The sequence below is a fragment of the Homo sapiens genome, chromosome 1 (assembly GCF_000001405.40).
Source record: "Homo sapiens chromosome 1, GRCh38.p14 Primary Assembly".
Classification (NCBI taxonomy): Eukaryota; Metazoa; Chordata; class Mammalia; order Primates; family Hominidae; genus Homo; species Homo sapiens.
In genome coordinates this window covers 195,475,027-195,500,904 of record NC_000001.11, presented here as the reverse complement: position 1 = coordinate 195,500,904, position 25,878 = coordinate 195,475,027, and the positions used below count along the sequence as shown (strand labels likewise).

Below are 25,878 nucleotides of genomic sequence, written 5' to 3'. Positions count from 1 at the left end.
TTTTTAAGGATGCTTGTAATTGCATTGTGCCTTATGGAATGATCTATGATAACCTGTTATATTAAGGTTGGTTTATTACCAATCTTAATTTCATTTGCAATCTTACTTCTCCTTTTCCATGTACCATAAGACATTAACAGATTCTGCGGATTTGGACTTGGACATCTTTGGGAGCCCATTATTTTGCCTCCTACACCTATAAATCCAAGAAGTTCAACATATTTTAAGCAGAAGAAACATGAAGAAAGACACACCATAATCCAGTTGCTAAAATCAAAGAGAAAGCATAAAAATAGAAGGTAACCAGTCATTTAAGTTGTAGAACAATGCAAATAATACTGCTTCCAACATAACCATGAGGAAAAAATCATCTCCAAAATCATAAAATATCTTGAGCATATCAGAGAGTTGAGCTCACACAACAGATAACTATCCAGACTTTCAAAGAGAGAAATGCTCTTGGAATAATGATAGTGTAAATGAATTGTTTCAGTTTTGCCAAAGCGAAGAAGAAACTGATAGACTCTTAAAAACAAATTAGAAAAAAAATCAGTAAAACCCTAAAAAAATAATGTCAAAGCTAAAGGTTGGGCTGCTATATAAGTTTGGAAAAACTGAGGGTCTCAAATGTAAGATGAGGGTCCCAAACACTCACAAGATCTTCTATATTGTTTTCCATCGGGTGTTCTCACAAAACAATGTGGCTGGGGCAGTCGTCCATAGAGAGCTTCCCTCTGTAAGACAAATGTTCACAAAATGATTGACAGTTGCTACAAATGAGCACAGACCTCTGCTGATATACCTGTGACCTTTTCTTCTAAGAAGTGAAAATAAACTGTGGAGGAAGAAGCAGCAAATATTTGTCCTTCAGAACCCAAAAGAAAAAAAAGTCAGTTGATTCAGTTGATTCTACAAGAGGAGCAAAAACAAAACTGGTCTATGGGAGAGATAAAATATAATAATAATAATAACTCTGTGATACCCAAGATGAAGTCAAACTTCCTTTGAAGCTCAAAGGGAGAAAGGGAATGAAATCCCTATCTTGGGTAAGAGACAACAGAGATCTTGAACAAAAAAACTCTAAATCTAAACCAAGTAGATTTCTATCCCTGTAGAGGAGCAGAAAACTCATTCTCAAGATTAAAAAAAAATTAAAAATAAAATAAGAATTTGGACTGGGATGGGGTGTATGAAGGGAAATCTGAAAATAGCCTCAGTTTCAAGGCCATAAAGACTTGAATTCATCTAAGATTGTAGTTGTCCTATGACAACAGAGAATACCCCTGTTCCTGCAATAAAGTTTTGCACTGAGTAATAAACACTTACCTACCCCTGGAGGAGGAGCAAAAGCATGAAGACAGACCCTATCTGTATTATAAGTGAGCAATAAATAGTGAAAGTTAGTGAGCAGCAGGTAAACTGAGAGGAAACCTTCAGGACCCCCCACCCTGAACTCAAGGCAAGAGGAGATAACTATTAGAGGATATGGAATTATGGGCTGCACTGGAGATAATTATAGCAATGACGAATTACAAACTCAGCTTAACTTCAACTTTCAACTTCCAACTACGTTGACTCCAACTTTCACATTAACAACCTGACAGAAACTGCCATATCCAGATGTAAAGGTCATTTATTTACCCAATATTGAGGTATAATATTAAGTATGATAAATTAAAGAAATGTATTAAAACACTAGTATGGCTACTAAAATGATATACCTGTTAAGCATTAAAACATAAGTAGGCATTTATAATATGTGCTTACAAATAAGCAAGTGGCATAGGACTTAATCTCTTTGTGTTGAAAAAATACTTCACAACTCATACATTTTATGAAATTGTTCTGTATGTGGAAAGTCCTGAATTAGAATTTTAAAGTTTTTCTCTAAATTAGTGTTTAATTAATATAGAACAGCACTCAACTCCCTGGCCTCTATTGGTAAATTCAACATATGTTTATTAAAAATATTACATTTATTACATGTATCATATATACAATATTAATAACATACTATATATTTATTTACATAATATATAACAATAACTATACATGTAAACAGTCATGTTCATTATTATTAAATTATATTTTGTTTTATTAAGTAATTCGGTTAATGTTATGAGCTCAGGTTTGAAAATGACTAATAACATGTTTTTCGTAATTCAATAAATAAAACTAACAAAGATTAACAAAAAAGAGAAATCATATAACACACATATATATGTAAAAATAATCTTCATATTTGCTGAACAATCAACCATTCTAAGTCTTAGAAACCCAGTTAGTTGAAAAACCACAGATCACAGTTATATTCAGTTTTTGCCCTTAAGATAATTTAGTTAAACTTTAAAAGCACATTCTTTTTATTAATGGTAATGAGGCAGACAACCTTTTGGTTAGACAGCTTGAGAAAGGTCAAAAAGGCTAGCCTTTATGGAAATCGAATTTTGAAATTTAATTCAGACTACACAAAGAAAGAGAAGTTGTCTTGCACCTATATTAGTATATATGGATAGCCAGGTGAGTTTTAAAAAATATTTAAAATGGTCTTACTTAAATTATTTGCCTTAAAATATAGCTGCTGTTTTCAAATAGCCCATGATGTAAGCATTTCAGCAGCTGAAAATCCATGTATTTATGTATATTACCAGACAAACATTGCACAAATTATTCAGTCTGGCTGTCTACTTTGATTTAATTGGAGAGAGAAATTGTAAACAGTTCTATTGATATTCCGTGGACATGGTACCTCTAAAGACAAAACTGAATACATTTTATCATTGTTAAATAAAAAATTTGTTTATAAAGTCAGTTTCATAGATAAATAAAGATAAACACCAATTATTTTTAATTTTTGTGAAAAGTGAAAACAGTAAAGGGAAATATTAACTATCATTACATGTAAACTTCTATTATGGATTACACGATTATACAGTTTTCCATTAAAAACATCTCTATTTTAATTCATGGAGCCTGCTTTTATTTAAGACAATGGCAAATTCCATATATATGTGTATATATATATGTATGTATATATATGTATGTGTGTGTATATATATATATATATATATATATATATATATATATATATATATATACACACACACACTACATTTTCTGTGTCTATCTATTGATGGACATTTGTTTCCACATCTTGGCTATTATGCCCAGTGCTTCAATCAACATAGGATTGATAACATCTCTTCAAAATACTGATTTTGATTCTTTTAGATAAGTACCCCAAAGTGGGATTTCTGGATTGTAAAAACGTTATATATTTATTATTTTGAAGAGCTTCTGTACTGTTTTCCATAGTTACTGTACTACTTAGCATTCACACAGTATGCAAAGGGTTCCAATTTCTTCAACATTTTCAGCAACACTTCTCTCTCTCACTCTTTTTTGATAGAAGCTATCAGAACATGTGTGAGCTGATATCAGGCTTTAAAAAAAGAAGGCAAATCTACAATACTCTGCAGTACGGATGAACCTTGAGGAGGGGGAGCTAAGTGCAATAAGCCAGCCACAGGAAAATAAATACTACATGATTTCATTTACATGAGGTATCTAAAATAGTCAAATTCATGGTATGAAATTGTGGAATTGTGTTTGCCATGGACTGACAGGAGAGGAAAGTAGGAGTTACTAATCAGTAGGCATAAAGTCTCAGTCAAGCAAGATAAATAAGCTCTAGAGATCTGCTGTATGACATTGTACCTATAGTCAATAATAATGTAAGCAAATATTTTCAATCCTTTTTGGCTAATATTTATATTTTAAATTTAAGATGACTTATTTTCCAGCTTTTACCTTTATTTATATGTGTTAAATTACTTGTGCTTAAAATGTTAAGATTCTCATTCTCTCAAGGAAACTGTTACTTAAAATTGTTTGATTCCAGGTTTCAATTTTAGCATTAAGCAAGTCTGAATTAAAAATTAAGTTTTCATAATGTATAGTTCCGCTCCCCAGAATTCTAACCTTTCTCAGTTATACCACGTGGGATCTCAAAATACACACATTCACATTCATTTACGCTATTTAAAACTTCCCACAGAAAGATTTATGTTATGAACTATATATATATGTATCCAGTCAGCATATGTACATATATATGAAATAAGAACAAACTATATTATGCTTATATTTTTCTTGTCCCAGTCTACATCATCTTTATGATTTTAAAGGCCTGGAGTTGTGAAAACACTTACTGGAAATTTCAGAAATAATTTTACTTGGGAAACAGAAGAAATTTTAAAACCATCAGTAAGAATTTTCTAGATGAATAAAAGAGTGATTTTCTTTCTTTGTATTTTATTCCAATAACTTGTGGTGAACAGGTGGTTTTTGGAGCTGGGTGAGGCCTTTCACTATGGGATATCCCCCACTTCCCTGGTGAACTGTATGGCACAGCAGACGCAGCCATAATCACCACTGAAACATAACCTCATTGGCCTGAGAACCACCCCTCCATCCACCACAGTGACCACAGCAAGCCCCACCCAAGAAGATTCTGAGCTGAGACCCATATATCCCTGCCCCCACCTGATGGTATTTTTCCACCCATCCTGGTAGCCAAACACAAAAGTCATAAAGTCTTGGGGGCTTTATGGCTCCACCCATTGCCTGAGAAACCAGAACACCTACCCTGGCCAACACAGGGCAAGCTTATATCCCCCTACTACTACTGCAGCTGGTACACTCTTGAAAGCGCCACCTCCTGGCTTGAGGCCAACGAACTCAGACCTTACAGCAACTCATGACAGAAAAAACCTGCTTCTAGGAAGAAGAAAACACAGCTAATATCACTGCCAGCAACATCCTGGCTAACCAAAGATCCTGAGTCTGTCCATGTGACAACTTCACTGCTAGCATAACCAGCATTCGAGAAAGCCAGCACACCAAACATATCTACAACCAAGGATTCTCACAAGCTACTTCACTCTCCTGCCACCTCCACCAGAGCAGGTGCTGGTTTCTATGGCTGAGAGACCTGAAAACACATCACATCACGGGACTCTTTGCAGAAATTCCCTAGCACCAGCCCAGAACCTAGTAGCCTTGCTGGGTGGTCAGACACCCAATAACAGTCACTGCAGTATGGCTGTCAGGAAGCCCCATCCCTAGGGGAAGAGGGAGAGCACCACATCAAGGGATTACCTTGTGGGGCAAAATAGTCTGAACAGCATACTCTGAGTTCCAAATATTTCCATGGAAAAAGTCTACCCAAATAAGAAGGAACCAGAAAAGTAAATCTGGTAATATAGCAAAACGTGGTCTTATAACACTCCCATAATCACACTGGCTCCCCAGCAATGGATCCAAACCAAGAATAAATCTCTGAATTGCCAGATAAATAATTCATAAGGTTGATTATTAAGCTACTAATTGACATACAGAGAAAGATGAAAGCCAAGGGCGAAGGATATGAACAGACACTTCTCAAAAGAAGACATTTATGCATCCAAAAGACCCATGAAAAAATGCTCATCATCACTGGCCATCAGAGAAATGCAAATCAGAACCACAATGAGATACCATCTCGCACCAGTTAGAATGGCCATCATTAAAAAGTCAGGAAACAACAGATGCTGGAGAGGATGTGGAGAAATAGGAACACTTTTACACTGTTGGTGGGACTGTAAACTAGTTCAACCATTGTGGAAGTCAGTGTGGCGATTCCTCAGGGATCTAGAACTAGAAATACCATTTGACCCAGCAATCCCATTACTGGGTATATACCCAAAGGATTATAAATCATGCTGCTATGAAGACACATGTGCACGTATGTTTATTGCAGCACTATTCACAATACCAAAGACTGGGAACCAAGCCAAATGTCCAACAATGATAGACTGGATTAAGAAAATGTGGCACATATACACCATGGAATATACTATGCAGCCATAAAAAATGATGAGTTCATGTCCTTTATAGGGACATGGATGAAGCTGGAAACCATCATTCTCAGCAAACTATCGCAAGGACAAAAAATTAACACCACATGTTCTCACTCATAGGTGGGAATTGAACAATGAGAACACATGGACACAGGAAGGGGAACATCACACACCAGGGCCTGTTGTGGAGTGGGGGAAGGGGGAGGGATAGCATTTGGAGATATACCTAATGCTAAATGACGAGTTACCAGGTTCAGCACACCAACATGGCACATGTATACATACGTAACTAACCTGCATGTTTTGCACATGTACCCTAAAACTTAAAGTATAATAAAAAAATTCAAAAAAAAAGAAATTTAAAAAAACAATAACAGGATATGAATAGAAAATTCTCCAGTGAAATAGGTATCATAAAGGAAAACAAATCATAACTTCTGGAAATGGAAGACACACTTAGAGAAATACAAAATGCACTGAAAAATTTTAACAATAGACTAGAACAAATAAAACAAATAACTTCGGAGCTTGAAGAAAAGGCTTTTGAATTAACCCAATCAGAAAAAGACAAAGAAAAAAAGTAAAAATAAACAAAGCCTCCAAGAAATTTGGGATTATGTTAAACAGCCAAACCTAAGAATAATTGGTGTTCCTGAGGAAGAAGATAAATCCAAGTTTGGAAACTTATTCGAGGGAATAATTGAGGAAAGCTTCCCTGGCCTTGCTAGAGATATAGACATCCAAATACAGGAAGTTCAAAGAACACCTGGTAAATTCATCACAAAAAGATAATCACCTAAGCACGTTATCATCAGATTATCTAAAGTGAAGATGAAGGAAAGACTAAGAGCTGTGAGACAAAAACAACAGGTAACCTATAAAGGAAGACCTATCAGATTAACAGCTAACTTTTCAGCAGAAATCTTACAAGCCAGAACAGATTAGGGTTGTATCATTAGGCTCCTTAAACAAAATAATTGTCAGCCAAGTGTTTTGTATCCAGCAAAACTAAGCTTCGTAAATGAAGGAGAGGTAAAGTCTTCTTCAGACAAACAAATACCAACAAAATTCACCACTACCAAGCCAGCACTGCAAGAAATACTAAAAGGAGTTCTAAATTTGAAACAAAACCACAAAATACACCAAAACAGAACCTCCTTAAGGCATAAATATCACAAGGCCTATAAAACAATAACACAATGAAAAAAAAGGTATTAGTGAACAACTAGCATGATAATAGAACAGTAACTCACGTCTCAATACTAATATTGAATTTAAATGGCCTAGATCCTCCACTTAAAAGATACAGAATGTCAGAATGGAGAAAAATCCACCAACCAAGCTTCTTCAAGAAACTCACCTAACACATAAGGACTCACATAAACTTAAGGTTATAGGGGTGGAAAAAGATATTCTATGCAAATGAAAACCAAAAGTGAGCAGGAGGAACTATTCTTATATCAGACAAAACAGACTTCAAAACAACAACAATAAAAAGACAAACAGGGAGATTATATGCTGATAAAAAAATTAGTCCAACAGGAAAATATCACAGTTCCAAATATATATTCACCTAACACTGAAGCTCCCAAATTTATAAAACAATTACTTCTAGATGTAAGAAATGAGATAGACAGCAGCACAATAATAGCGGGGGACCTCAATACTCCACTGACAGCATTAGACAGGTCATTAAAACAGAAAGTCAACAAAGAAACAATGGATTTAAATTATACCTTGAAACAAATTGACTTAAAAGATATATACAGAACATTCCATCTAACAATCGCAGAATACACCTTCTATTGAACAGCACATGAAACTTCCTCCAAGATAGATAATATCATAGGCCACAAAACAAGTCTCAATAAATGTAAAGCAATCAAAATTACATTAAGAATTGTCTCAGACCACAGTGGAACAAAACTGCAAATTAATTCCAAAAGGAACCTTCAAAACTATGCAAATACATAGAAATTAAATAATATGCTCCTGAGTGATCTTTGGGTCAACAATAAAATCAAGATGGAAATTTAAAAATTCTTTGAATTGGATAATAAAAGTGACACAATTTAGCAAAACCTCAGGGATACAACAAAAGCAGTGTTAAGAGGAAAGTTCATAGCATAAATGCCTACATCAAAAAATCTGAAAGAGCACAAATAGACAACCTAAGGTCACACCTTGAGGAAGTAGAGAAACACGAAGAAACCAAACCCAAACCAGGCAGAAGAAAATAAATAACAAAGATCAGAGCAGGACTAAATGAAATTGAAAGAAACAAACCAAAAAACAATACAAAAGATAAATGAAACAAAAAGCTGATTATTTGAAATGATAAAATTGATAGACCATTGGTAAGATTAACCAAGGAAAGAAGAGAGAAGATCCAAATAAGCTCAATTAGAAATGAAATGGGAGATATTACAAACAATACCACAGAAATACAAAATATCATTCAAGGCTACTACAGACACCTTTATGTGCATAAACTAGGAATTCTAGAGGATATGGACAAATTCCTGGAAACATTCAACTCTCCTAAATTAGTTCAGGAAGAAATAGAAACTGAACAGACCAATAACAAGTAGTGATTGAAATAGTAATTAAAAAAATGCCAACCAAAAAAGCCCGGGACCAAATAAATTCACAGCTTCTACCAGGCATTCAAAGATGAATTAGTACCAATCTTACTGAACTATTTCAAAAGATAGAGAAGGAGGGAATCCTCCCTAAATCATTCTATGAATCTAGTATCACTGTAATACCAAAACCAGGAAAAGACATAACAACAAAAAAAAGAAAACTACAGACCAATATCTTTGATGAACATAGATGCAAAATATCATCAAAAAATACTAGTTAACTGAATCCAACAGTGTATTAAAAAGATAATACTCCATGATCAAGTGGGTTTCATACCAGGGATGCAGACATGGTTTAATATATGCAAGTCAATAAATGTGATACAGCACATAAACAAAATTAAAAATCATACGATCATCTCAATAGAAGCAGAAAAAGCATTTGACAAAATCCAGCATCACTTTATGATTAAAACTGTCAGCAAAATTGGCATAGAAGGGAAATACTTCATGGTAATAAAAACCATCTAAAAGAGTGATTTCTATAGTATATTTTGTTTCAAAGCTGCTCATTATACTGCTTTGGCCCCATCCTCTTTAAAGTCAAGCTATCGAAATAATAAGTTTGGAGCATTTGAGTTTTTATGAAACTTTCTGTTGTACTTTAGTGTCTTTTAATACGATAAGTGCTACTGACAGTTCCTTTTGGGCTAGTCATAGATCTATGGATTCATTTTCATACTGAAGCTAGAGGGAGAATCTAAGACTAGAAAGACAAAGAGGCAGGCAAAGAAGAAATGTGTTAGAGTTGAGTAGCATAACCAAGAGAGGCTGTAGAGATTGTTCTGTGCTTTTAACTATTTATTTACTCCCTGAAATAGATTAATATTTTAATGAAAATGATATCATTTTGTTATATATTTCTATTGTGATTGTTTTGGGAATGTATCATATATAATTAATATCCAGGACACCATCATTTTGTTAAATGAGAAATATAAATGCACACACAAATCACGTTAAGCCCCACACTATTCTTTCAATTCAAATGACACATTATGTTAGAGACGTTCACTGATTTTTGGTGGTTTAGCACCACATAATGAAAATGCAAGATTTTCAAAACTGCTTTTCAATAATAGCCACAGGGAGCATGTCACACTTCATTTATATATCCTTAAAAAATATTCCTAGCTAATGAAAGCTGAAGTTTATAAATATCAACAGATGTCAAATTATTTGAGTAGCTGTCTCTTGTTGATGTTTTTTAAAGAATTTCTTTAGGGTCTATACACATCATGAGAAATGAAAAAAATGCTATTTACTATTTGGTTGGAAATTGCAGAACAACGCCTCTGAAAAATATTATTTCATGTTAATGTCCAGAGACTGCTCTTCTATGGCTGGGTATAGCAGTTCCACAAAGATGTAGACAACCAAGACTTTCTATGTTTCTTCTATGTAATAACTAATCTGTCATGGTTATTTTGCTTCAAATGAGTGTGGCAGTGCCCAACATCATAGCCACATTCCAGCCACCATGAAGGCATAAAGGGAAGACAAATGCATTTCCTCTTGTTTTAAGAACACTTCCTAGAATTTCCATCAATTTTGCTCACGTGTGATTTGCCAGATTTTTGTCACATGATGACACCCTGTTGCTAAGGTCAAAGAATATACTCTTATTTGGCACAGCCATAAGATTCTAGTGTTTTGATGCAGAAAAAAAGAACAGATAATGTGAAACAATTAGCAATTTCTGCCACAGCCAGTTTAATTAGATACCCACAAATTTCTGCCGTCACCTTTTTACACACATAGAATGCATTCATCATTTCCCCAGGGAAGACTACCCAAAGTCTTCAGCTCATGTTTTGAAGAACCAAAGTCTTCAAGTTCATGATATAAGGATAATATTTAACCTCCTTCCTTATAAAATGTTAAGTCCTTATGGTCTTGTAATCTATAAAATAAAGGGCAGGTCATTTGTTCCAAACAAAGAGAAAAAAAAATAACAGCATCTAGAAATACCTGTTTGGAAGAGGGTAATTGGAAAACATAGCAACTAGTGGTCTGTAGCACTTATGAAATACAATTCAAGTGAATTAGTAAAGGCCCTTTTTGATTATGGCAGAGGAATTTCCTTGTTTAGCCCATTTGGGCTGTCTACTTCTGCTTCCTGAAAAGAAATCTTTTCACCAATATCCTCCCCGAATCATGACTGTCTTTTGGGAGGGTCTGTCTCTCTCTTTCCCTTTTTAAAAATAATTTTTAAATGGCAAATAAAAATTACATACATTTATGGTGTATAACATATTTTGATATATGTATATATTGTGATATGACTAAATCAAGCTAATTAACATATTCATTACCTGTTATACTTGCTCAGTAAGCTTCGTGGCTGTATCTAAGGTGGGCACTGAGAAGTATGACTGTCTTGATGGTTACATAACCCGTATAACCTATGTCCTGCTAATACATTTTTGAGGGCTGGTGTATATTTTTCAGGATATATAAATTATAGGAAATTTCATGTCAAATTTGCAGTCTCTGTGGCAATAAATTTTTCATCAAATTTATAGGTTTCTTATTTGTTTCTCAGTTCTGTAAGCAAGCTCCTATAAGCAAATAATGGTGTAGACAGTTAAAGTCTGAACACTCTGGTCCTTTACTTACTGGGCTCAGTGTTATGCCCACCATCACCACCACCTGACCGATGACTGTTTTGAGACCACCTGAAGCAAAAACACTCTTAATCTGATCTTTACTAGTATGCTGGCTGCTGATCTGGTGTAGAATTTTTGTGAAAGTGCTTAAAAAGATTCTGCAGCACAATTATGCTAATGATGTCAATACAAGCCACTGATTATTATTGTTTTGATTACTGATATAGGCTGGTTTAAAATAGCAAAACTCAGATTGTAGAACTGTGTACAAAGTTCTTAGTGTAGAAAGGTGACCTGTAGATAGAGGTCACCAGAGCAGACATGTTCTATCTCTGTTTGCAAACTGACCAGTTGTAGGATTTTGCAAATATAGGGTAAAGATAGGGTAAAAGCCAACATGCATCTACATTCTACATATTTCTATCACTTTCCTTTACGATAAGATATGTGCGTCTGCTTTCCATGGTAGTGCTGATTATAGTTTTTATCAAATATTTTTTCTGTAATGCAATAAGGTTATTATTATTTCAGCTTGCAATATTTAAATCCTTGATAGCTGATTTGCAACTACTAATTTAATGTCACATATTCTTATGTAAGTGTAGATTAATATGTAGAATACAGAATAATTATGTAAAATATAGTCATTTATTATAACCTGTGTCCACTTATGGAATTCCATATTAATCATATTAATTAGGGTTAAGTTTGTCTATGAGTGGGGGAAATAGAAGGCCAGATAACATGAATGAATCAAATATGGTTTAAATTTCTTCATTAAAAGTCCAGAAGTTGACTGTCTAAAACTGGTATGGCATAAGTCAACAGAGACTTCAATTATTTTCAGCTTGCCATTCTGCCATTCCTAAAATATAACTGCCATTTTTTCATGTTTCAGTCTTGATTTTTTGTGCCTACATTTTCTTTAAATAATTTTTACTTTCAAGGACATAAAGTAATATCATGACATTTTTCTTTTAGTTTTTAAAATTGCTAAGTGGAATAGATATGATTTCCTCAAAATCATTAGGTCAGTCTTACCAGATTCCAGAGGGTGGAAAACCCAGGTGTTGCTAGCAGTACTCATCCTGCTATGAACAATGACACCTTAAGATCTCAGGGTAATATAGAGTAGACAGACATTATTTGGCTCAAAGAATGTCAGGATATATTATTGCCTGCATTCCAGCCACTAAACCATGGATATCAAGCAATGTCCGGTACAAATTAGTCTCAGAGAGTCTAACTTGCACATGCTTTGCAAATCTTAAAGTATCTTCTCTAGTTTTATTTCCATAGCAACCCCAAATAAGAAATGCCTGAGAAAAATATCTAATGTTTAGCTTATCCATAAGCCTTTTCTTGCCTTTTTGTTTTCCAGTCTACCTGGATCACTAGTCACCATATTATATTCATCAAAAATCCTAAATCACCTAGATTTTATTTAACCACTAGGATGGTGGTTCTCCACAACGATGGTGACATCACCTGAACCATGTTGAAAAGCTTAGAGAGACTTTGTGTTTAACAGTAGGGATCCACAAATAATGAGGATGATTATTGGCATTGAGTTGGCAAGGGCTATATGTTCTGATTTCCATGTGCTCCAAAGAATCATTCATTAATATATGTATATGAATATGTACACACATACGTGTGTATATATACCAAAATGGTAAAATATTGTTTATAAGTTTTTCATACTAGATCCTAATTTTATTTAACCTATAAAAACAACACGTTTTTGTAGAGCTTTGATATACACTGAGTTTTTCAGGAATTCAATGATTATTTGCAATAAAAGACATTTGCACGCTGTTTGATTTGAATCTTTACTGAAAGCTTCTTGCAATTTAAAAAAGCATATCACACCAAGAATGATACTATCACTCATTACAGAATGCTAAATAAATCAGTCTCTGTTTTTTATTGTATCATATATTGTGATTCTATGCTGAGGTTCAAATATATAATTTTGTTGTTTTTTTTCCAGCATAGCTGTGCCCAGTTGGATATATACAGACCTGCAAATTTGAATGCAAATTGTTTTCTTTTATCCTATAACATATTAACATACATACGAACAATATTTTCACAGTTATTACTCTAATAAATAACTCTTCATTGTTGGGACTGCCAAAATAGCTTCCCAACTTGTCTCTTTGCCTCTAGTTCTCCCTGTTCTCCACACTCAACATCAAAATTTAGATTAAATTAGATACACTCTTTTCCTTAAAAATATTTTAATGAATACACTTGTTTGTAAACATGTATTCAAATTTATTTAATTATGCAAACTTGTATATCTTTTCACAGTCTATATGTGATTATATAGGCTATAATCCTGGCTTATAACACGTAGAGCCAAAGTAATCATTAACTACATATGAAAATTCCACTTTCAAATAGCCTCTATGATGATTTATAAACAACTGGGCATATTTTCTGACAATGATATTACTTCTTGACTGTTTTTCACCTGGGATGTACCAGGATAAAAGTGATGTCATCTGATGTCTTGATGTCAAGTATTCTTCTTGCCAACTCATTCGTATTTCCTTTAAAAGACAGGGGTTTTTGAGGGTATTTTTATGCTCTTGTTTTTTTTTATGAAATACAGCATGCATACTAAGGAGAGTGCACAATATCTGGACAATTTAAGGAATAACAATATAATGAACATGCATATATATGCTTGTTAGGTTTTAAACTTAAAAGAAGTACATTTTAAAAGTCTTCTGTAGGTCCCTTCTAGTCCCAAAAGTATTCCCTGTGCTATATTTCAATTTTTACTTACTATTTATAGACTTTCTAATTATGTGTGTATCCTTAAAAAAACTCACAATGTTCTTTTTTGTTTTAGAATAGTTTTTTAAAATAATGTAGTGTTTACATTTTTCTATCCTATTTCTTTTGTATAGTATTTCAGCATATAAATATGAATCTCACCCAATTGTCCCATAAAATGATGTTTATGTTTTAATTTGATTGAATGTAGAAATTGACCCTCACAGTCTTGAAACTTGAGAAAATTACATGTGTTTTATCTGAATTCCTTTCTCAAGAAGCCAACCATCAGGACTCCCAGATAGTATCAAGGAACTGAGACTTACTAGATCACCACATCTGGACAATGAGACACGATTTCTCACCCATCATGAGGGTCTAAGCAACCACCTGCCTCCTGTTGACAAACTCCTCTTCCTTACCCCTCCCTAATTCCTGTTTTCCTGCATGTAGTTACATTTCTTCCCTGTTATATAAAACCATAATTTTAATTGGTCAGGGAGATGGATTTGAGACTGATCTCCCATCTCCTCTACTATAGCACCCAATTAAAGCCTTCTTCCTTGTCAATACTCATTGTCTCAGAGATTACTTTTCTGTTTGGTGAGCAGCAGAAACTAGACTGAACATCTGGCATTTTGGTTAGAGATATGCAACTGAGACAGCCAGGTGGGAGGGGGCTCCACAGAAAAACTCCAACGGGCCTGCGCACTGGGAATGAGCACTGTGGAGAAGCCTTGAGAAGTATGTGGCATTTGCAGTGGGGAGGAACCTGGCCCCTCCCCTTCCTATGTGAAACCTGGAATTTCAGCTGCAGCGGGGAAGCATTCTAGCCAGGACTCTGGCCTTGTGGAGGATCCCTGTTTCGCTCCCTCCTTTTTTTTTTTCTTTTTGAGATGAAGTTTCACTCTTGTTGCCCAGGCTGGAGCGCAATGGCGCTACCTTGGCTCACTGCAACCTCCACCTCCTAGGTTCAAGCGATTCTCCTGCCTCAGCCTCCCAGGTAGCTGGGATTACAGGCGCCCACTACCACACCTGAACTCAGGTGATCCACCTGCCTCGGCCTCCTAAAGTGCTAGGATTACAGGTGTGAGCCACCACGCCGTGCCCCGTTTCCCCCTTTTTTACCCTTTCCACCGAATAAAACCCTGTCTTACTCACCCTTCAGTCTAGGAGCCTAAAATTTTGTGACCATGGGACGGACAAGGACTTTGTCTTTAGCTAAACTGAGGAAGAGTCCTGTAACATTTTTGGCATGCAACGTGGGGGCTCGAGAAGCAGTGAGTGAAATAGAGACTCAAAACCTATCACTGCGGCTTCTAAGCCTTCCATCCTGGTATTTCACAGGGTAGAGAAAACATGCCCCCCAACCCTGTCACCCCCAGATTCGGGGGAAATACCCTTTCCTTACTTTTTCAGGACAGACAGGCTAGTGGGGCTCCTTGCTGCCCCTCCCCTCTGTGCCAGGGCTGGGACGCATGGCCCAAGGGTCCCACACAGCCGGCTGGCTGGTTCCCAGCCACAAGCCTTCACCTGCTTCCTTTTCCCCTGAGAAATAAAAACAGCCCTAAAGATTATTGGTAAAATGCAGGTCAGATGCAAGGTTTGCTAAGTGTTTTGAGGTTATAAACTGCTTTGTGGCTTTTGAGACCTGAGGACATATGGAACTAACCATGCCCTTAACTAAGAAGGTAAACCTTGGCTGCAGGTAGCACACAATTACAGCAACTTACCAGGTTTTACCTTAAAATTTAAAATTGCTAGGAGTTAATTGAAACTACTAGAAATTGATTTACATGTCAGGTGTGTAAGAACAGTAAATTATGTTTTTTAGTAAAAGGTTATAATAAGTCATGGAAATGTAAACTTTGGCCTAGGGTTAAAGGATTATTTTGAATTAAAGTAGGAAAAAGCTGAAGGTTCAAAGAAGTGATGGAAGAATTGTGGAAATTAATCTTGCAGAAGAGGTTCTCTGTGTGGACATATTGGCTAAATTCCAAAAAGGGTATTATATGGTTTTTCTGTAAGTTGAGCATTGAAATAAAAGCATAACAAGGTTTTCCTAAGGCGCTAATCTGCTCTTTGGCAAAATTTGTAATGGGTTATGAAGCTTTTTGCTCCTTTAAGATTTCTGAGTAATCATTTTGGCAAAATAAATAACTTATGGTAATCTGGAATTCTATTTAATAATACCAAGTGTTTTAAACCTGGAGCATTTAACAGCCTTCTGAAAATCAAACTTCAGTTTCAAAATTGTCTTCCCTGGCACCTGGCTTTTGGAGTACTTCAGAGGGCCCTGGCAGTTTCCAGAAAAGAGGTAAACAGGATTATTTGACATGTTTAGGCACATGGGATTGTCACAGTGATGCTCAGTCTTCTTTATGTTACATTATTGTAAATAATGCAAACATATTCTCCAAAGTTGTGTGGGATTTCTAAAATTCTAATGTCTGAGTATATGCTATCAATCACAATTAAGGTTTTTATGGTAAGACATTGTAAACCACGGAGAGAACTGAACTTCTATGTCAATCATCTTTCTAACTATAACTATACTGGACATTTTGCTATTCACAGACAATTGTCTTGTTTTAATCCTTTTGAAAAATGGTTTTTAATTAACTATAGAACTTTAACTGGTGCTCTTCAATACAGGCTTCTGATAACTTTAGAGATCGTAACATTGGAATAAAGGAAAATATACAGGACTCATAAAGAGCTGAAATGTTTACAAATGCCAAGCAAAACAAGGGCTAACTAGATAGACTGAACTCAGAAAGCTGAAGAAAATCTTTTTGACCTTTACTTGGAATATTGCTGATCCTTGTTTTGTTTTTCAGAGTCAAGAAAACTTATTTTGAACTATTTACAGCCTTTAATAATTGAGTAAGTTATTCTCCCGTGAACAAAATTTGGAGCATGTTTGTTTCTCTCTGCCTGGTTCCTTTAGAATTTGGAAACTTTGTGAGTATTCTTATGGCAATATTGTTGTTTGCATCAGTGCAATAAGAATCCATTTTTCTTTTGCAACAGGACCCAATTGCAGAAAGTGGTTATTTTACCAAGGCCTTGACTGGAAATGTATGCTTCCCTTTAAGGAGTCAAATTCGACTTGCAGAGCTGATTAAAAAAAAAAAAAAAAACCATGGGAGAAACTGGCATTATAACCTTGCCTACGGAGTGCCTGGAAAGGGTTCCTGACCTATGGTTAGTAAAGAATGTTACTTTCTAACAGGTCCAGGAGCTCCAAATTTATCTTGAGATCTTAAGAGGAGAGAATCACCCAACTCACAGGTATTTTAGGATAAACCTATGGCTGGGGTTGGCTTTAAAAGGTCTTATCTGAGATTCCTTGGGAAACAGAGTTCCATCAGAGCCAATCCAAAAGGCCTATGTAGAAATAATTATTCTTGCTGCACTTTATGCAAATAATCAAGCCAAATATAAGACTAAAGTCTATTTTTGCAAACAACCTGGTCCTATCATGATTTGTTTTTGTTTGTTTGTTTGTTTGTTTGTTTGAGACGGAGTCTCGCTCTGTCACCCAGGCTGGAATGCAGTGGCACGATATCGGCTCACTGCAAGCTCTGCCTCCCAGGTTCAAGCGATTCTCCTGCCTCAGCCTCCCGAGTAGCTGGGACTACAGGCGCCTGCCACCACGCCCAGCTAATTTTTTGTATTTTTAGTAGAGACGAGGTTTCACCATGTTAGCCAGGATAGTTTCGATCTCCTGGCCTCGTGATCCACCCACCTCGGCCCCCAAAGTGCTGGGATTACATGCGTGAGCCACCGCGCCCTGCCCCATGATTTGTTTTTAAACAAATCTGAGGACTGGAAAGAGAGAAACTATGTTCCAAAACTTATCATACATTTATCATTACATTCTAAACTCACTAGTTGTTTTTAAGTTTTAGCCTACATTTTAGACTAACCCTGCTTGTTCCTGTGAACCAACCAGCAACCTCCAGCTGCAGCTCAGAAAGAACATCAGGGATGGGTAATTAAGAAATCCTGATCAGTATTCTACTGATTAATTATCCTGCAAATCCTGCCAGGTGATGGGAAAAAAATAGGATGCCTATCACTCAGAGGTTTCCTTTTGGGAAAGTAAAACCAATGGAACTAACTAAAGCCAAGCACCAAGCACCCAAATCCTAGCAAGCATACCTATAGCCACCAGTTATCTGGGTGTGTCACAAGACATCCTTTCTTCTCCCTTGTGGAGGAGGATTCAGTTCTACAGTTGCACCTTAGCATTTGGCTTATCATAAGGAATCCATGCAATCCCCCCACCGACACATTTTTGTCCCAGATTCCATTCCAAACTTGGGGTCAAAGCCCTAGGAAAGAAAACTGGATCTAAGGGATCCAGAGGCAGATGACAACAGAGATTAAAAGGCACAGTGCAGGTGAGTGTGGCTGATTTATGCTGAATAAGCTAACCCCAAGCTTCATGTTTCATGGATAAAGGCCACGTTAATATCCATGGCATAAATGAGGTCTAGAGAAATCCAAGGCTACTGATAGCAGGGGAGATAGGTCATACGTGGGTAAAAGCAGATGATTCCCACTGCCAACACGCCCCTCCCCGCCATGGGTGCAAGCCACTTTTACACCCAAGGTGGCACCTGCCAAGGTCGCTGGGACTCAGGGATGCCAGGACAGAAGAGGAAAGAGGACACTCTTCCATCTCTCCCTCATGTACCTTAGGTATCTGGTAGGAAGGGAACCAGGGACACCTTCTCGCCTCTTTCTAGATGGGTAGCCATTCATCTTCAGTCTATACACCTTTCAAATGCATCCTGAACCCCTGAATGAAAATAGCTTCTTTTTTCCTTTCTCCTCCCCACTTCTCTCTTCACAGATAGGTAATTGTGTCTCCATACTATGGGACACTCCCCTCAGGTGCATCCTCCAAACTGGAAAGAGTTAATTATTCAAACCTTAAACTGGTTGGCTTAGGATTGGGCTCAGGGGAAGGGAACCCAGAAGCCCAACATGCTGGCAAAAGGGTAAAGTTTCTTTCCCATTCAGGCTTTTGGCTCCCTCTCCTGTGTAAACTACTAGAAGGCCCCAGAATGTTTGAGCTGTCCCTACTTCCCCCTTGTTTTGTTTTGGTATACGTTTTCTAATAACCTGGTTTGTCTGTTCCTGCCTTCAGGCCATCAGACTCCAAACGGTCATGCAACCGGAGCCTCTGACAATGGCCATTTCTGCTGGGAGCCCTTAAATAGGCCTCTGAGGGAGCTCTAACTGCTATTTCCCCAAAACAGCACCCCTTGTCAGCAGGAAGCAGTTAAGATCGGTCTTGTCCTTATCCTTATTCTAACAGTTAGATGTACATCTTTAGAGGGGGGAATGGGACAGACAGGTGGGAGGGAGTACCTGGAAAATTCCAACCAGCTTGTGTGCTGGGAATGCACCCTGTGGTGGAGCCTCTGGAAGTTCTTGCCCTTTGCAGTGGGAAAGAGCCTGGCCCCTCCTCTTCCTGTGTGAAACCTGGAATTCAAGCTGTGGGCAGGAAGCATTCTAGCAGGGACTCTGGCCTTGCAAAAGATCCCTGTTTCCCCTTTTTTTCCCCTTTACACTCAGTAAAACCCTGCCTTACCCTACAAACTGTCTGCGAGCCCAAACTTCTGTGGCTGTGGGACAAAGATCCCGTCTTTAGCTAAACTAAGGAAAAGTCCTTCAACACAACGACTTAATTTTATATCATCTTAGACAATCCTTTTGTTTCCAATGCTTGCTATTATAAAAAAAAAAAAAGACCCTGTTGTAAATAATTTGGGAATGTCTACTTTAGACAAGTTCAAGACTTTCTTAAATATTCAACTGGGAATGGACAAACTATGTTGTGAAATTTTAAAAGGAATGATATTCAAAATATTTAGCCAAAGTAAGGTCAAGGGCAATGCCCTAATAGAATAGAAGCCAACAACTTACTACACTGTTCAAGTGTGGAAACAGACTTGTTCATGGATACAAATGTGTTAATAATTATTAAATAATTCCAGATGGCTTCTACATATTTATATTACCACCAGCAGAAAATGAGGGTTATCTTTGTTCCACTTAGTTAACAGACTTGGATATTTTTGTGAGAAAGTAACACATCATAATGTTTTTTTCTCTGTATTTTCTAAATAGTTAATGAGTAATGAAATGTTTTCATGAATTAATGCTCACTTTGTTTCATCTTTTTAAAATTCCTGTTCTTTTTCTCTTATTTTCCAGTGGGTTATTTGTATTTTTCCTATTCATCTGGAGGAGTTCCACATATTCTTTACGTTTAACTCTCTGTTGGTTGTTAGTGTTCCAAATGGTTTCTCCCAGTGTGTAGCTTGTCATAATTGTGTCTTTGATCATTATGAATTATTACTTATAGTGTACTTTATATTTATGATGTAAATATGTTATCATGTTTTCTGCTCTCTGACCCTGAAATCATATTCTCTCCTAAGATTATTATGTGTTGTGAATGATCGTAGTTCCTTTTTTCTTTATATAAAAAGCCAGTTGCTCGAGAAAATCTAGTGAAATTTCACCTACTCTTTCCACTTTTATCTGAAATATCATCTATGTCATAAAACAAGTTCACACATCAGAGTAGATATGGTTCTTAGGCTCTATTTTCTGTTCTGTTAATTAACTTTTCTATTTTGTGCAAATACGTAACTGTCTTAATTATGTACTATAATTTTCACTACATTTTTCTAATTTGATAAGGCAAGTCCCTTCCACCACCCCTAACTTTGTTCTCTTAAATTATCATTTTGACTATTTTTAATCTCTCATCTTCTTATATTCACTTTAGAATGACAAAAATTTCAACATAATCCATTTAATTGAAAATCATTACATGTATATATTAATATGGAAAGACAATATGTCAATTATATTGAGCACACTAATCCATAATCAATTACCTATGATTTCTATAATTCATTTAGGTTAATATTTAAACTTTTCTCAAAACTGTAGTGAGATTTAATTTCACTAAAAATTAATTATTTAAATATGAATCCACTTAATCCAGCATAGGTAAACCAAGGAAATGTGTGGGACATTAATAAATAAGGGAAAGGTCAAATTTTCTACCCTCTGCATATAGTGGAATATTCTGTCTCCTCTCAAATACTATATGTAATGCAAGACAAATTGACATGTGGCCAGAGTGTGCAGCTATAAAATCATAAATTTCTTATTAATAATATTTAAATTTGAACAAAATAAATACAAATATTCTTCCTCAGCCATAATTGATAATTTTGAGCACTTTATTATGCTGCAACCCATTTTGAACATCTCTAGAATACAGAGATGTAGACAACTATCTTAGTTCTTTCATTTAAGTCGTGGAACATATAATCTAGTCCGGTGAAGAACTTAGATTACTTTTTACACGTGAAATGCTCCTTCACACTAAATGTGTCTGCTTAAATGTTTCCTTGACCTGGACTGTCTTCTGGTTTTCTGCTAATATCATTCTACTCTTCTTTTGTAAACACTTTGAAATGTCTTTTCCTATGTTATGTTATGTTTTATCTGACTCTCAGAAGTAGATTCAGATTCATTTTTTATTATATTATCCTACTGTACTAACACATGTGACTTCATAATAGGTATTGCTGTTTGTCAATGCGTCTATTTCCTACATTATTTTTCTGTATGGCCTCAGCAGTTAGATAATATTAATACTAGATTACAAATATTTAACACAGTGGCTTAGAATCTATTAAGAATAATACATTATCTTAAATGGATTCATTAATTCTTTTCAAGTTTTACATTTATTTGAAATTATAATTTCATAAGAAACCATAATTTTGTGTATATTAATATTTAAATTGTATTATATTTACATGTAATAAACTTTAAATGGCTATTCATTCAGAGAAATCTTATTTATGAAATTTTATTTAGATACATAGTACCCTTAAGAATTACATGTGATTAGTGTCTTCTTAGTGTTTAAAATGTTTGTTTATGCCAATTAACCAATGCTTAAAATGTAAATCCAATTATTCTTTAAGATATATTCTACAGCTCTGAACAGAATAAAATATTCATGCTAGAAGAGAACTTGAAGATTACCTTGTTTTATATCTTCATTGTGTAGATAAGATTTTATTTTCTGTAGGAAGCAAATTCTTATTTTCTATACTGAGCATTTAAATTTTGAGTATGTAGATTATAAATGTTCTAGGCATAATTTTAAAGTACAGTCATCCTGTTAATGCTCAGTCATCCTGAATAAAAATCGCTTGTTGTGAGAGAATATACAATTAATTCCAAAATGAAACAATCTCTATGACAATTTTGAATGACTGTTCAAAAGATTGGTTAATTTTTAAATTAATATTGTGGATTTTATTTTTTAAGATGTGTTATGGCTGGGTACGGTGGCTCATGCCTGTAATCACAATACTTTGGGAGGCTGAGGCAGGCAGATCAGGAGGTCAAGAGATCGATACCATCCTGGCTGACACAGTGAAACCCCATCTCTACTAAAAATACAAAAATTAGCTGGGCATGGTGGCGTGTGCCTGTAGTCCCAGCTACTCGGGAGGCTGAGGCAGGAGATTCACTTGAACCCGGGAGGCGGAGGTTGCAGTGTGCTGCTATCACGCCACTGCACTTCAGCCTGGCGACACAGCGAGACTCTGTCTCAAAAAAAAGATGTGTTATAAATGACTTACAGACACTATACTTGATAGTTTTTAACAGTGACTAAAGAAGTTCACTGTAATTTTCAATCATCAAAATTGTACAAAGATGCATATTTTGAACTTATTGATTTTACAAATTACAGATTAGAATTTAAAGTAATGAATGTTGCTTTGTTCTAATTTTCTGCGGTTTGCCAAAAACTCATCTTGTTTTAGTTCTCATTTGGGGTGCTTTTATTAAATACTATGTTTCATAATATATTTTTCAATCTAGAATATAATTTCAGGACATATTTAGAAAAGAGAGGTAGAGAATATTATGATTGATACAAACTCCATGATAATACAAACGTGAGCAATTTCAATATTACCTCATGCAAGGTATATAATATATAATAGGATATAGAGATAATACCTGGACTTAAAATTGCTAGGAACTAGTATTTACTTTGTACAAATCTAAAATATAAGTTTAATCATTTTTAATTTGACTCCATGTATTTTAATTACTTTTATTTTAGATAATGTAGATTCATAATTAGTTGTAAGAAATTAGTTGTAAGAAATAACAGAAAGAGATTATGTGTATTATTTACTCAGGTTTCCTCAATAATAACTTCTTGAGACACTTTAGTAGTGTAGTACAAACCAGACAACCACAAGGATCCCTCATGTTGCTTCTTTATTTATTATTTGCATAGAGTATAGGTATAAGTGCAATTGTATTACATGGATATATTTCCTAGAGGTGAAATCTGTGCTTTTAGTTTAACCATCACTTGATTAGTATACATTGCACACAAAAAGTAATTTCTCATTCCTCACCCTCCCACCTTTCTGAGCCTCCAATGACTATTATTTCATACTCTATGTCCACATGTGCACATTATTTAGCTCCCACGTATAAGTGAGAACCTGGTATTTGACTTTCTGCTTCTGAGTTGTTTCATTTAAGATAAGGGCCTCCAATTCCATTCACGTTGTTGCAAAAGACATGTTTTTGTTCTTTTTTTATGGCTGTGCAGTATTACATGGTGCATATATACCACATTTTATTTATTCAATCATCTGTTGAGGGACACTTGGATTGATTCCAAGACTTTGATATTGTAGATAGTGCTGCGATAAACATGAGTGTAGGTATCATTTTGATTTAATAATTTCTTTTCCATTGGATATACATCCAGTAGTGGAACTGCTGAATTGAAAGGTAGTTCTATTTTGAGTTCTTTGAGATACTTACATACTATTGTCCATGGATGTTGCATTAAATTACATTCCCACCAAAAGTGCATATGAATTCCCTTTTCTCTGCATCCTGACATGCTAATTTTTGGCTTTTATTTTTCTCTTTTTTTCATTTCAATAGCTCTTGGGGTACAAGTGTTTTTTTATTATACGAATGAATTGTATAGTGGTGAAGTCTGAGATTTTAGTGTACCCATCACCTAAGTAGTATACATTGTATCCAATATGTAGTTTTTTATCCCTCACCCACCTCCCACTGTTCCCCTACCGGGTCTCCAAAGTTCATTATATCTCTTTGCGTTCCTTTGTATACCCATCGCTTAGCTATCACTAATAAATGAGAACATACGGTACTTGGTTTTCTATTCCTGAGTTACTTCACTTAGAATAATAGCCTCCAGCTCTATCTAGGTTGCTGCAAAAAAAAATATTTAATTATTTTTATGCAGAGTAGTATTCCATGGTGTATATATACCATATTTTTTATCCATTCATCAATTGATGGGCACTTAGGTTGGTTCTTATATTTGCAATTGTGAATTTTCTTGCTTAATAATAGTCACTGGTGTAAGATGGTATCTCATTGCAGTTTTGATTTGCATTTCTTTTATTATTAGGATGTTGAGTGTTTTCTTTTTTATATCCTTGTTAACCATGTGTATGTCTTCTTTTTTAAAATGTCTATTCAGGTCCTTTGCCCACTTTTTAATGGAGTTTTTTTGTGTATTATTGTTGGTGGCTTGTTTGAGTTTCCTGTAAACTCTCAATTATCAGTCCCCTGTCAGATTCAGAGTTTGCATACATTTTCTACCATTCTGCAGGTTTTCTCTTCACTCTGTTGATTATTTTTTATTTCTGTGTAGAATATTTATATTTTAAGTCCCATTTGTTAATTTTTTTTTTTGCTTGTGCTTTGGAGGTCTTATTCATGAATTATTTGCCTAGACTGAGAGAGGAGGCAGTTAGGGTCTGGTTAGGCAGACAGAGAGGGAGGGTCTCAGAAGAAGGACAGAGAAGAGCAAAGGAAAAACCACAGGACAGCACCTACACTGCCTCTGCTGGTAATAGGATGGAATATGGTTAAGAAATTCTCCTTGTGCTAGGATGTTGCTCAGAAGGGATGGTCCCAACTTTGGTATAGGTACAATGAATCAACCTAAATTTCCTTATCTTAATCCAGCTCATTATAATATCACTAACATGACATTAGCATTGTGTTTTTGTCTTTACCTGAGTTCCCCCACCCCATGGATTTTGCTTAGTGCTCATGGGTAATAAACAAGATGGAGTCACTCTGGCCAACCCTAGGCATATGCAGGTGTGGCACCCCTAGGAGGGAACTTTACCCTTCCTATTTGGGCAAAACCCGCAGAAGACTTCCTGGCTTCTGTCACATAAAGTTCTAGAACTCTGTCCCATTTCTGGAAACCTGCTTTCAGCACCCCCTTCTTTGTTTAGAGCTTTCCTTTTCCTTAATAAATCCTACTCTACTCACTCTCTGATGGTCACATGCCTTATTCTTCTTGGTGATGAGACAAGAATTCAAAACTACCTGAACTAGAGACTAAGCAGACTGCAAGAAGACCAATGTTCAGAAAAGTTTTTCTAGGTTCTCTTCCAGGATTTTTATACTTTCAGGTCTTACATTTAAGTCTTCGATGCATCTTGAGTTGATGTTTTTATACGGTGAGTGATAGGGGTCCAGCTTCATTTTCTGCATATGACAATCCAATTTTCTCTGCACCATTTTTTGAAAAAGTTGTTCTTTCTCCAGTGTATGTTTTTGTTGACTTTCTCAAAGATGAGATGTCTATAGATCTGTGGCTCTATTTCTGGGTCCTCTATTTGGTTCTATTGATAAGAATGGAACTGAATGGTATTGATATCTATTTGTATACCAGTACTATCCTGTTTTAGTTTGGACTTGTAGTATAATTTGGGGTCAGGTAATGTGATGCTTTCAGGTTTGTTCTTGTTGCTTACAATGGCATTGGCTATTGCAGCTCTTTTTCAGTTCCAT

General features: G+C 35.6%; 1 long non-coding RNA gene across 1 annotated transcript in view; it reads right to left on the bottom strand.

The window, feature by feature from the left end:
• LOC107985458 (uncharacterized) overlaps nucleotides 1-19,421 on the bottom strand; it is a 32,947-nt gene extending 13,526 nt beyond the window's left edge. The window contains exons 1-2 of the long non-coding RNA XR_001737815.2: nucleotides 19,327-19,421; nucleotides 656-734 (exon numbers count right to left, since the gene is read on the bottom strand). This is a non-coding gene — a long non-coding RNA (uncharacterized LOC107985458). The remainder of the gene's footprint in view (nucleotides 1-655; nucleotides 735-19,326) is intronic.
• Between the last annotated feature and the right edge of the window lie 6,457 nt (nucleotides 19,422-25,878).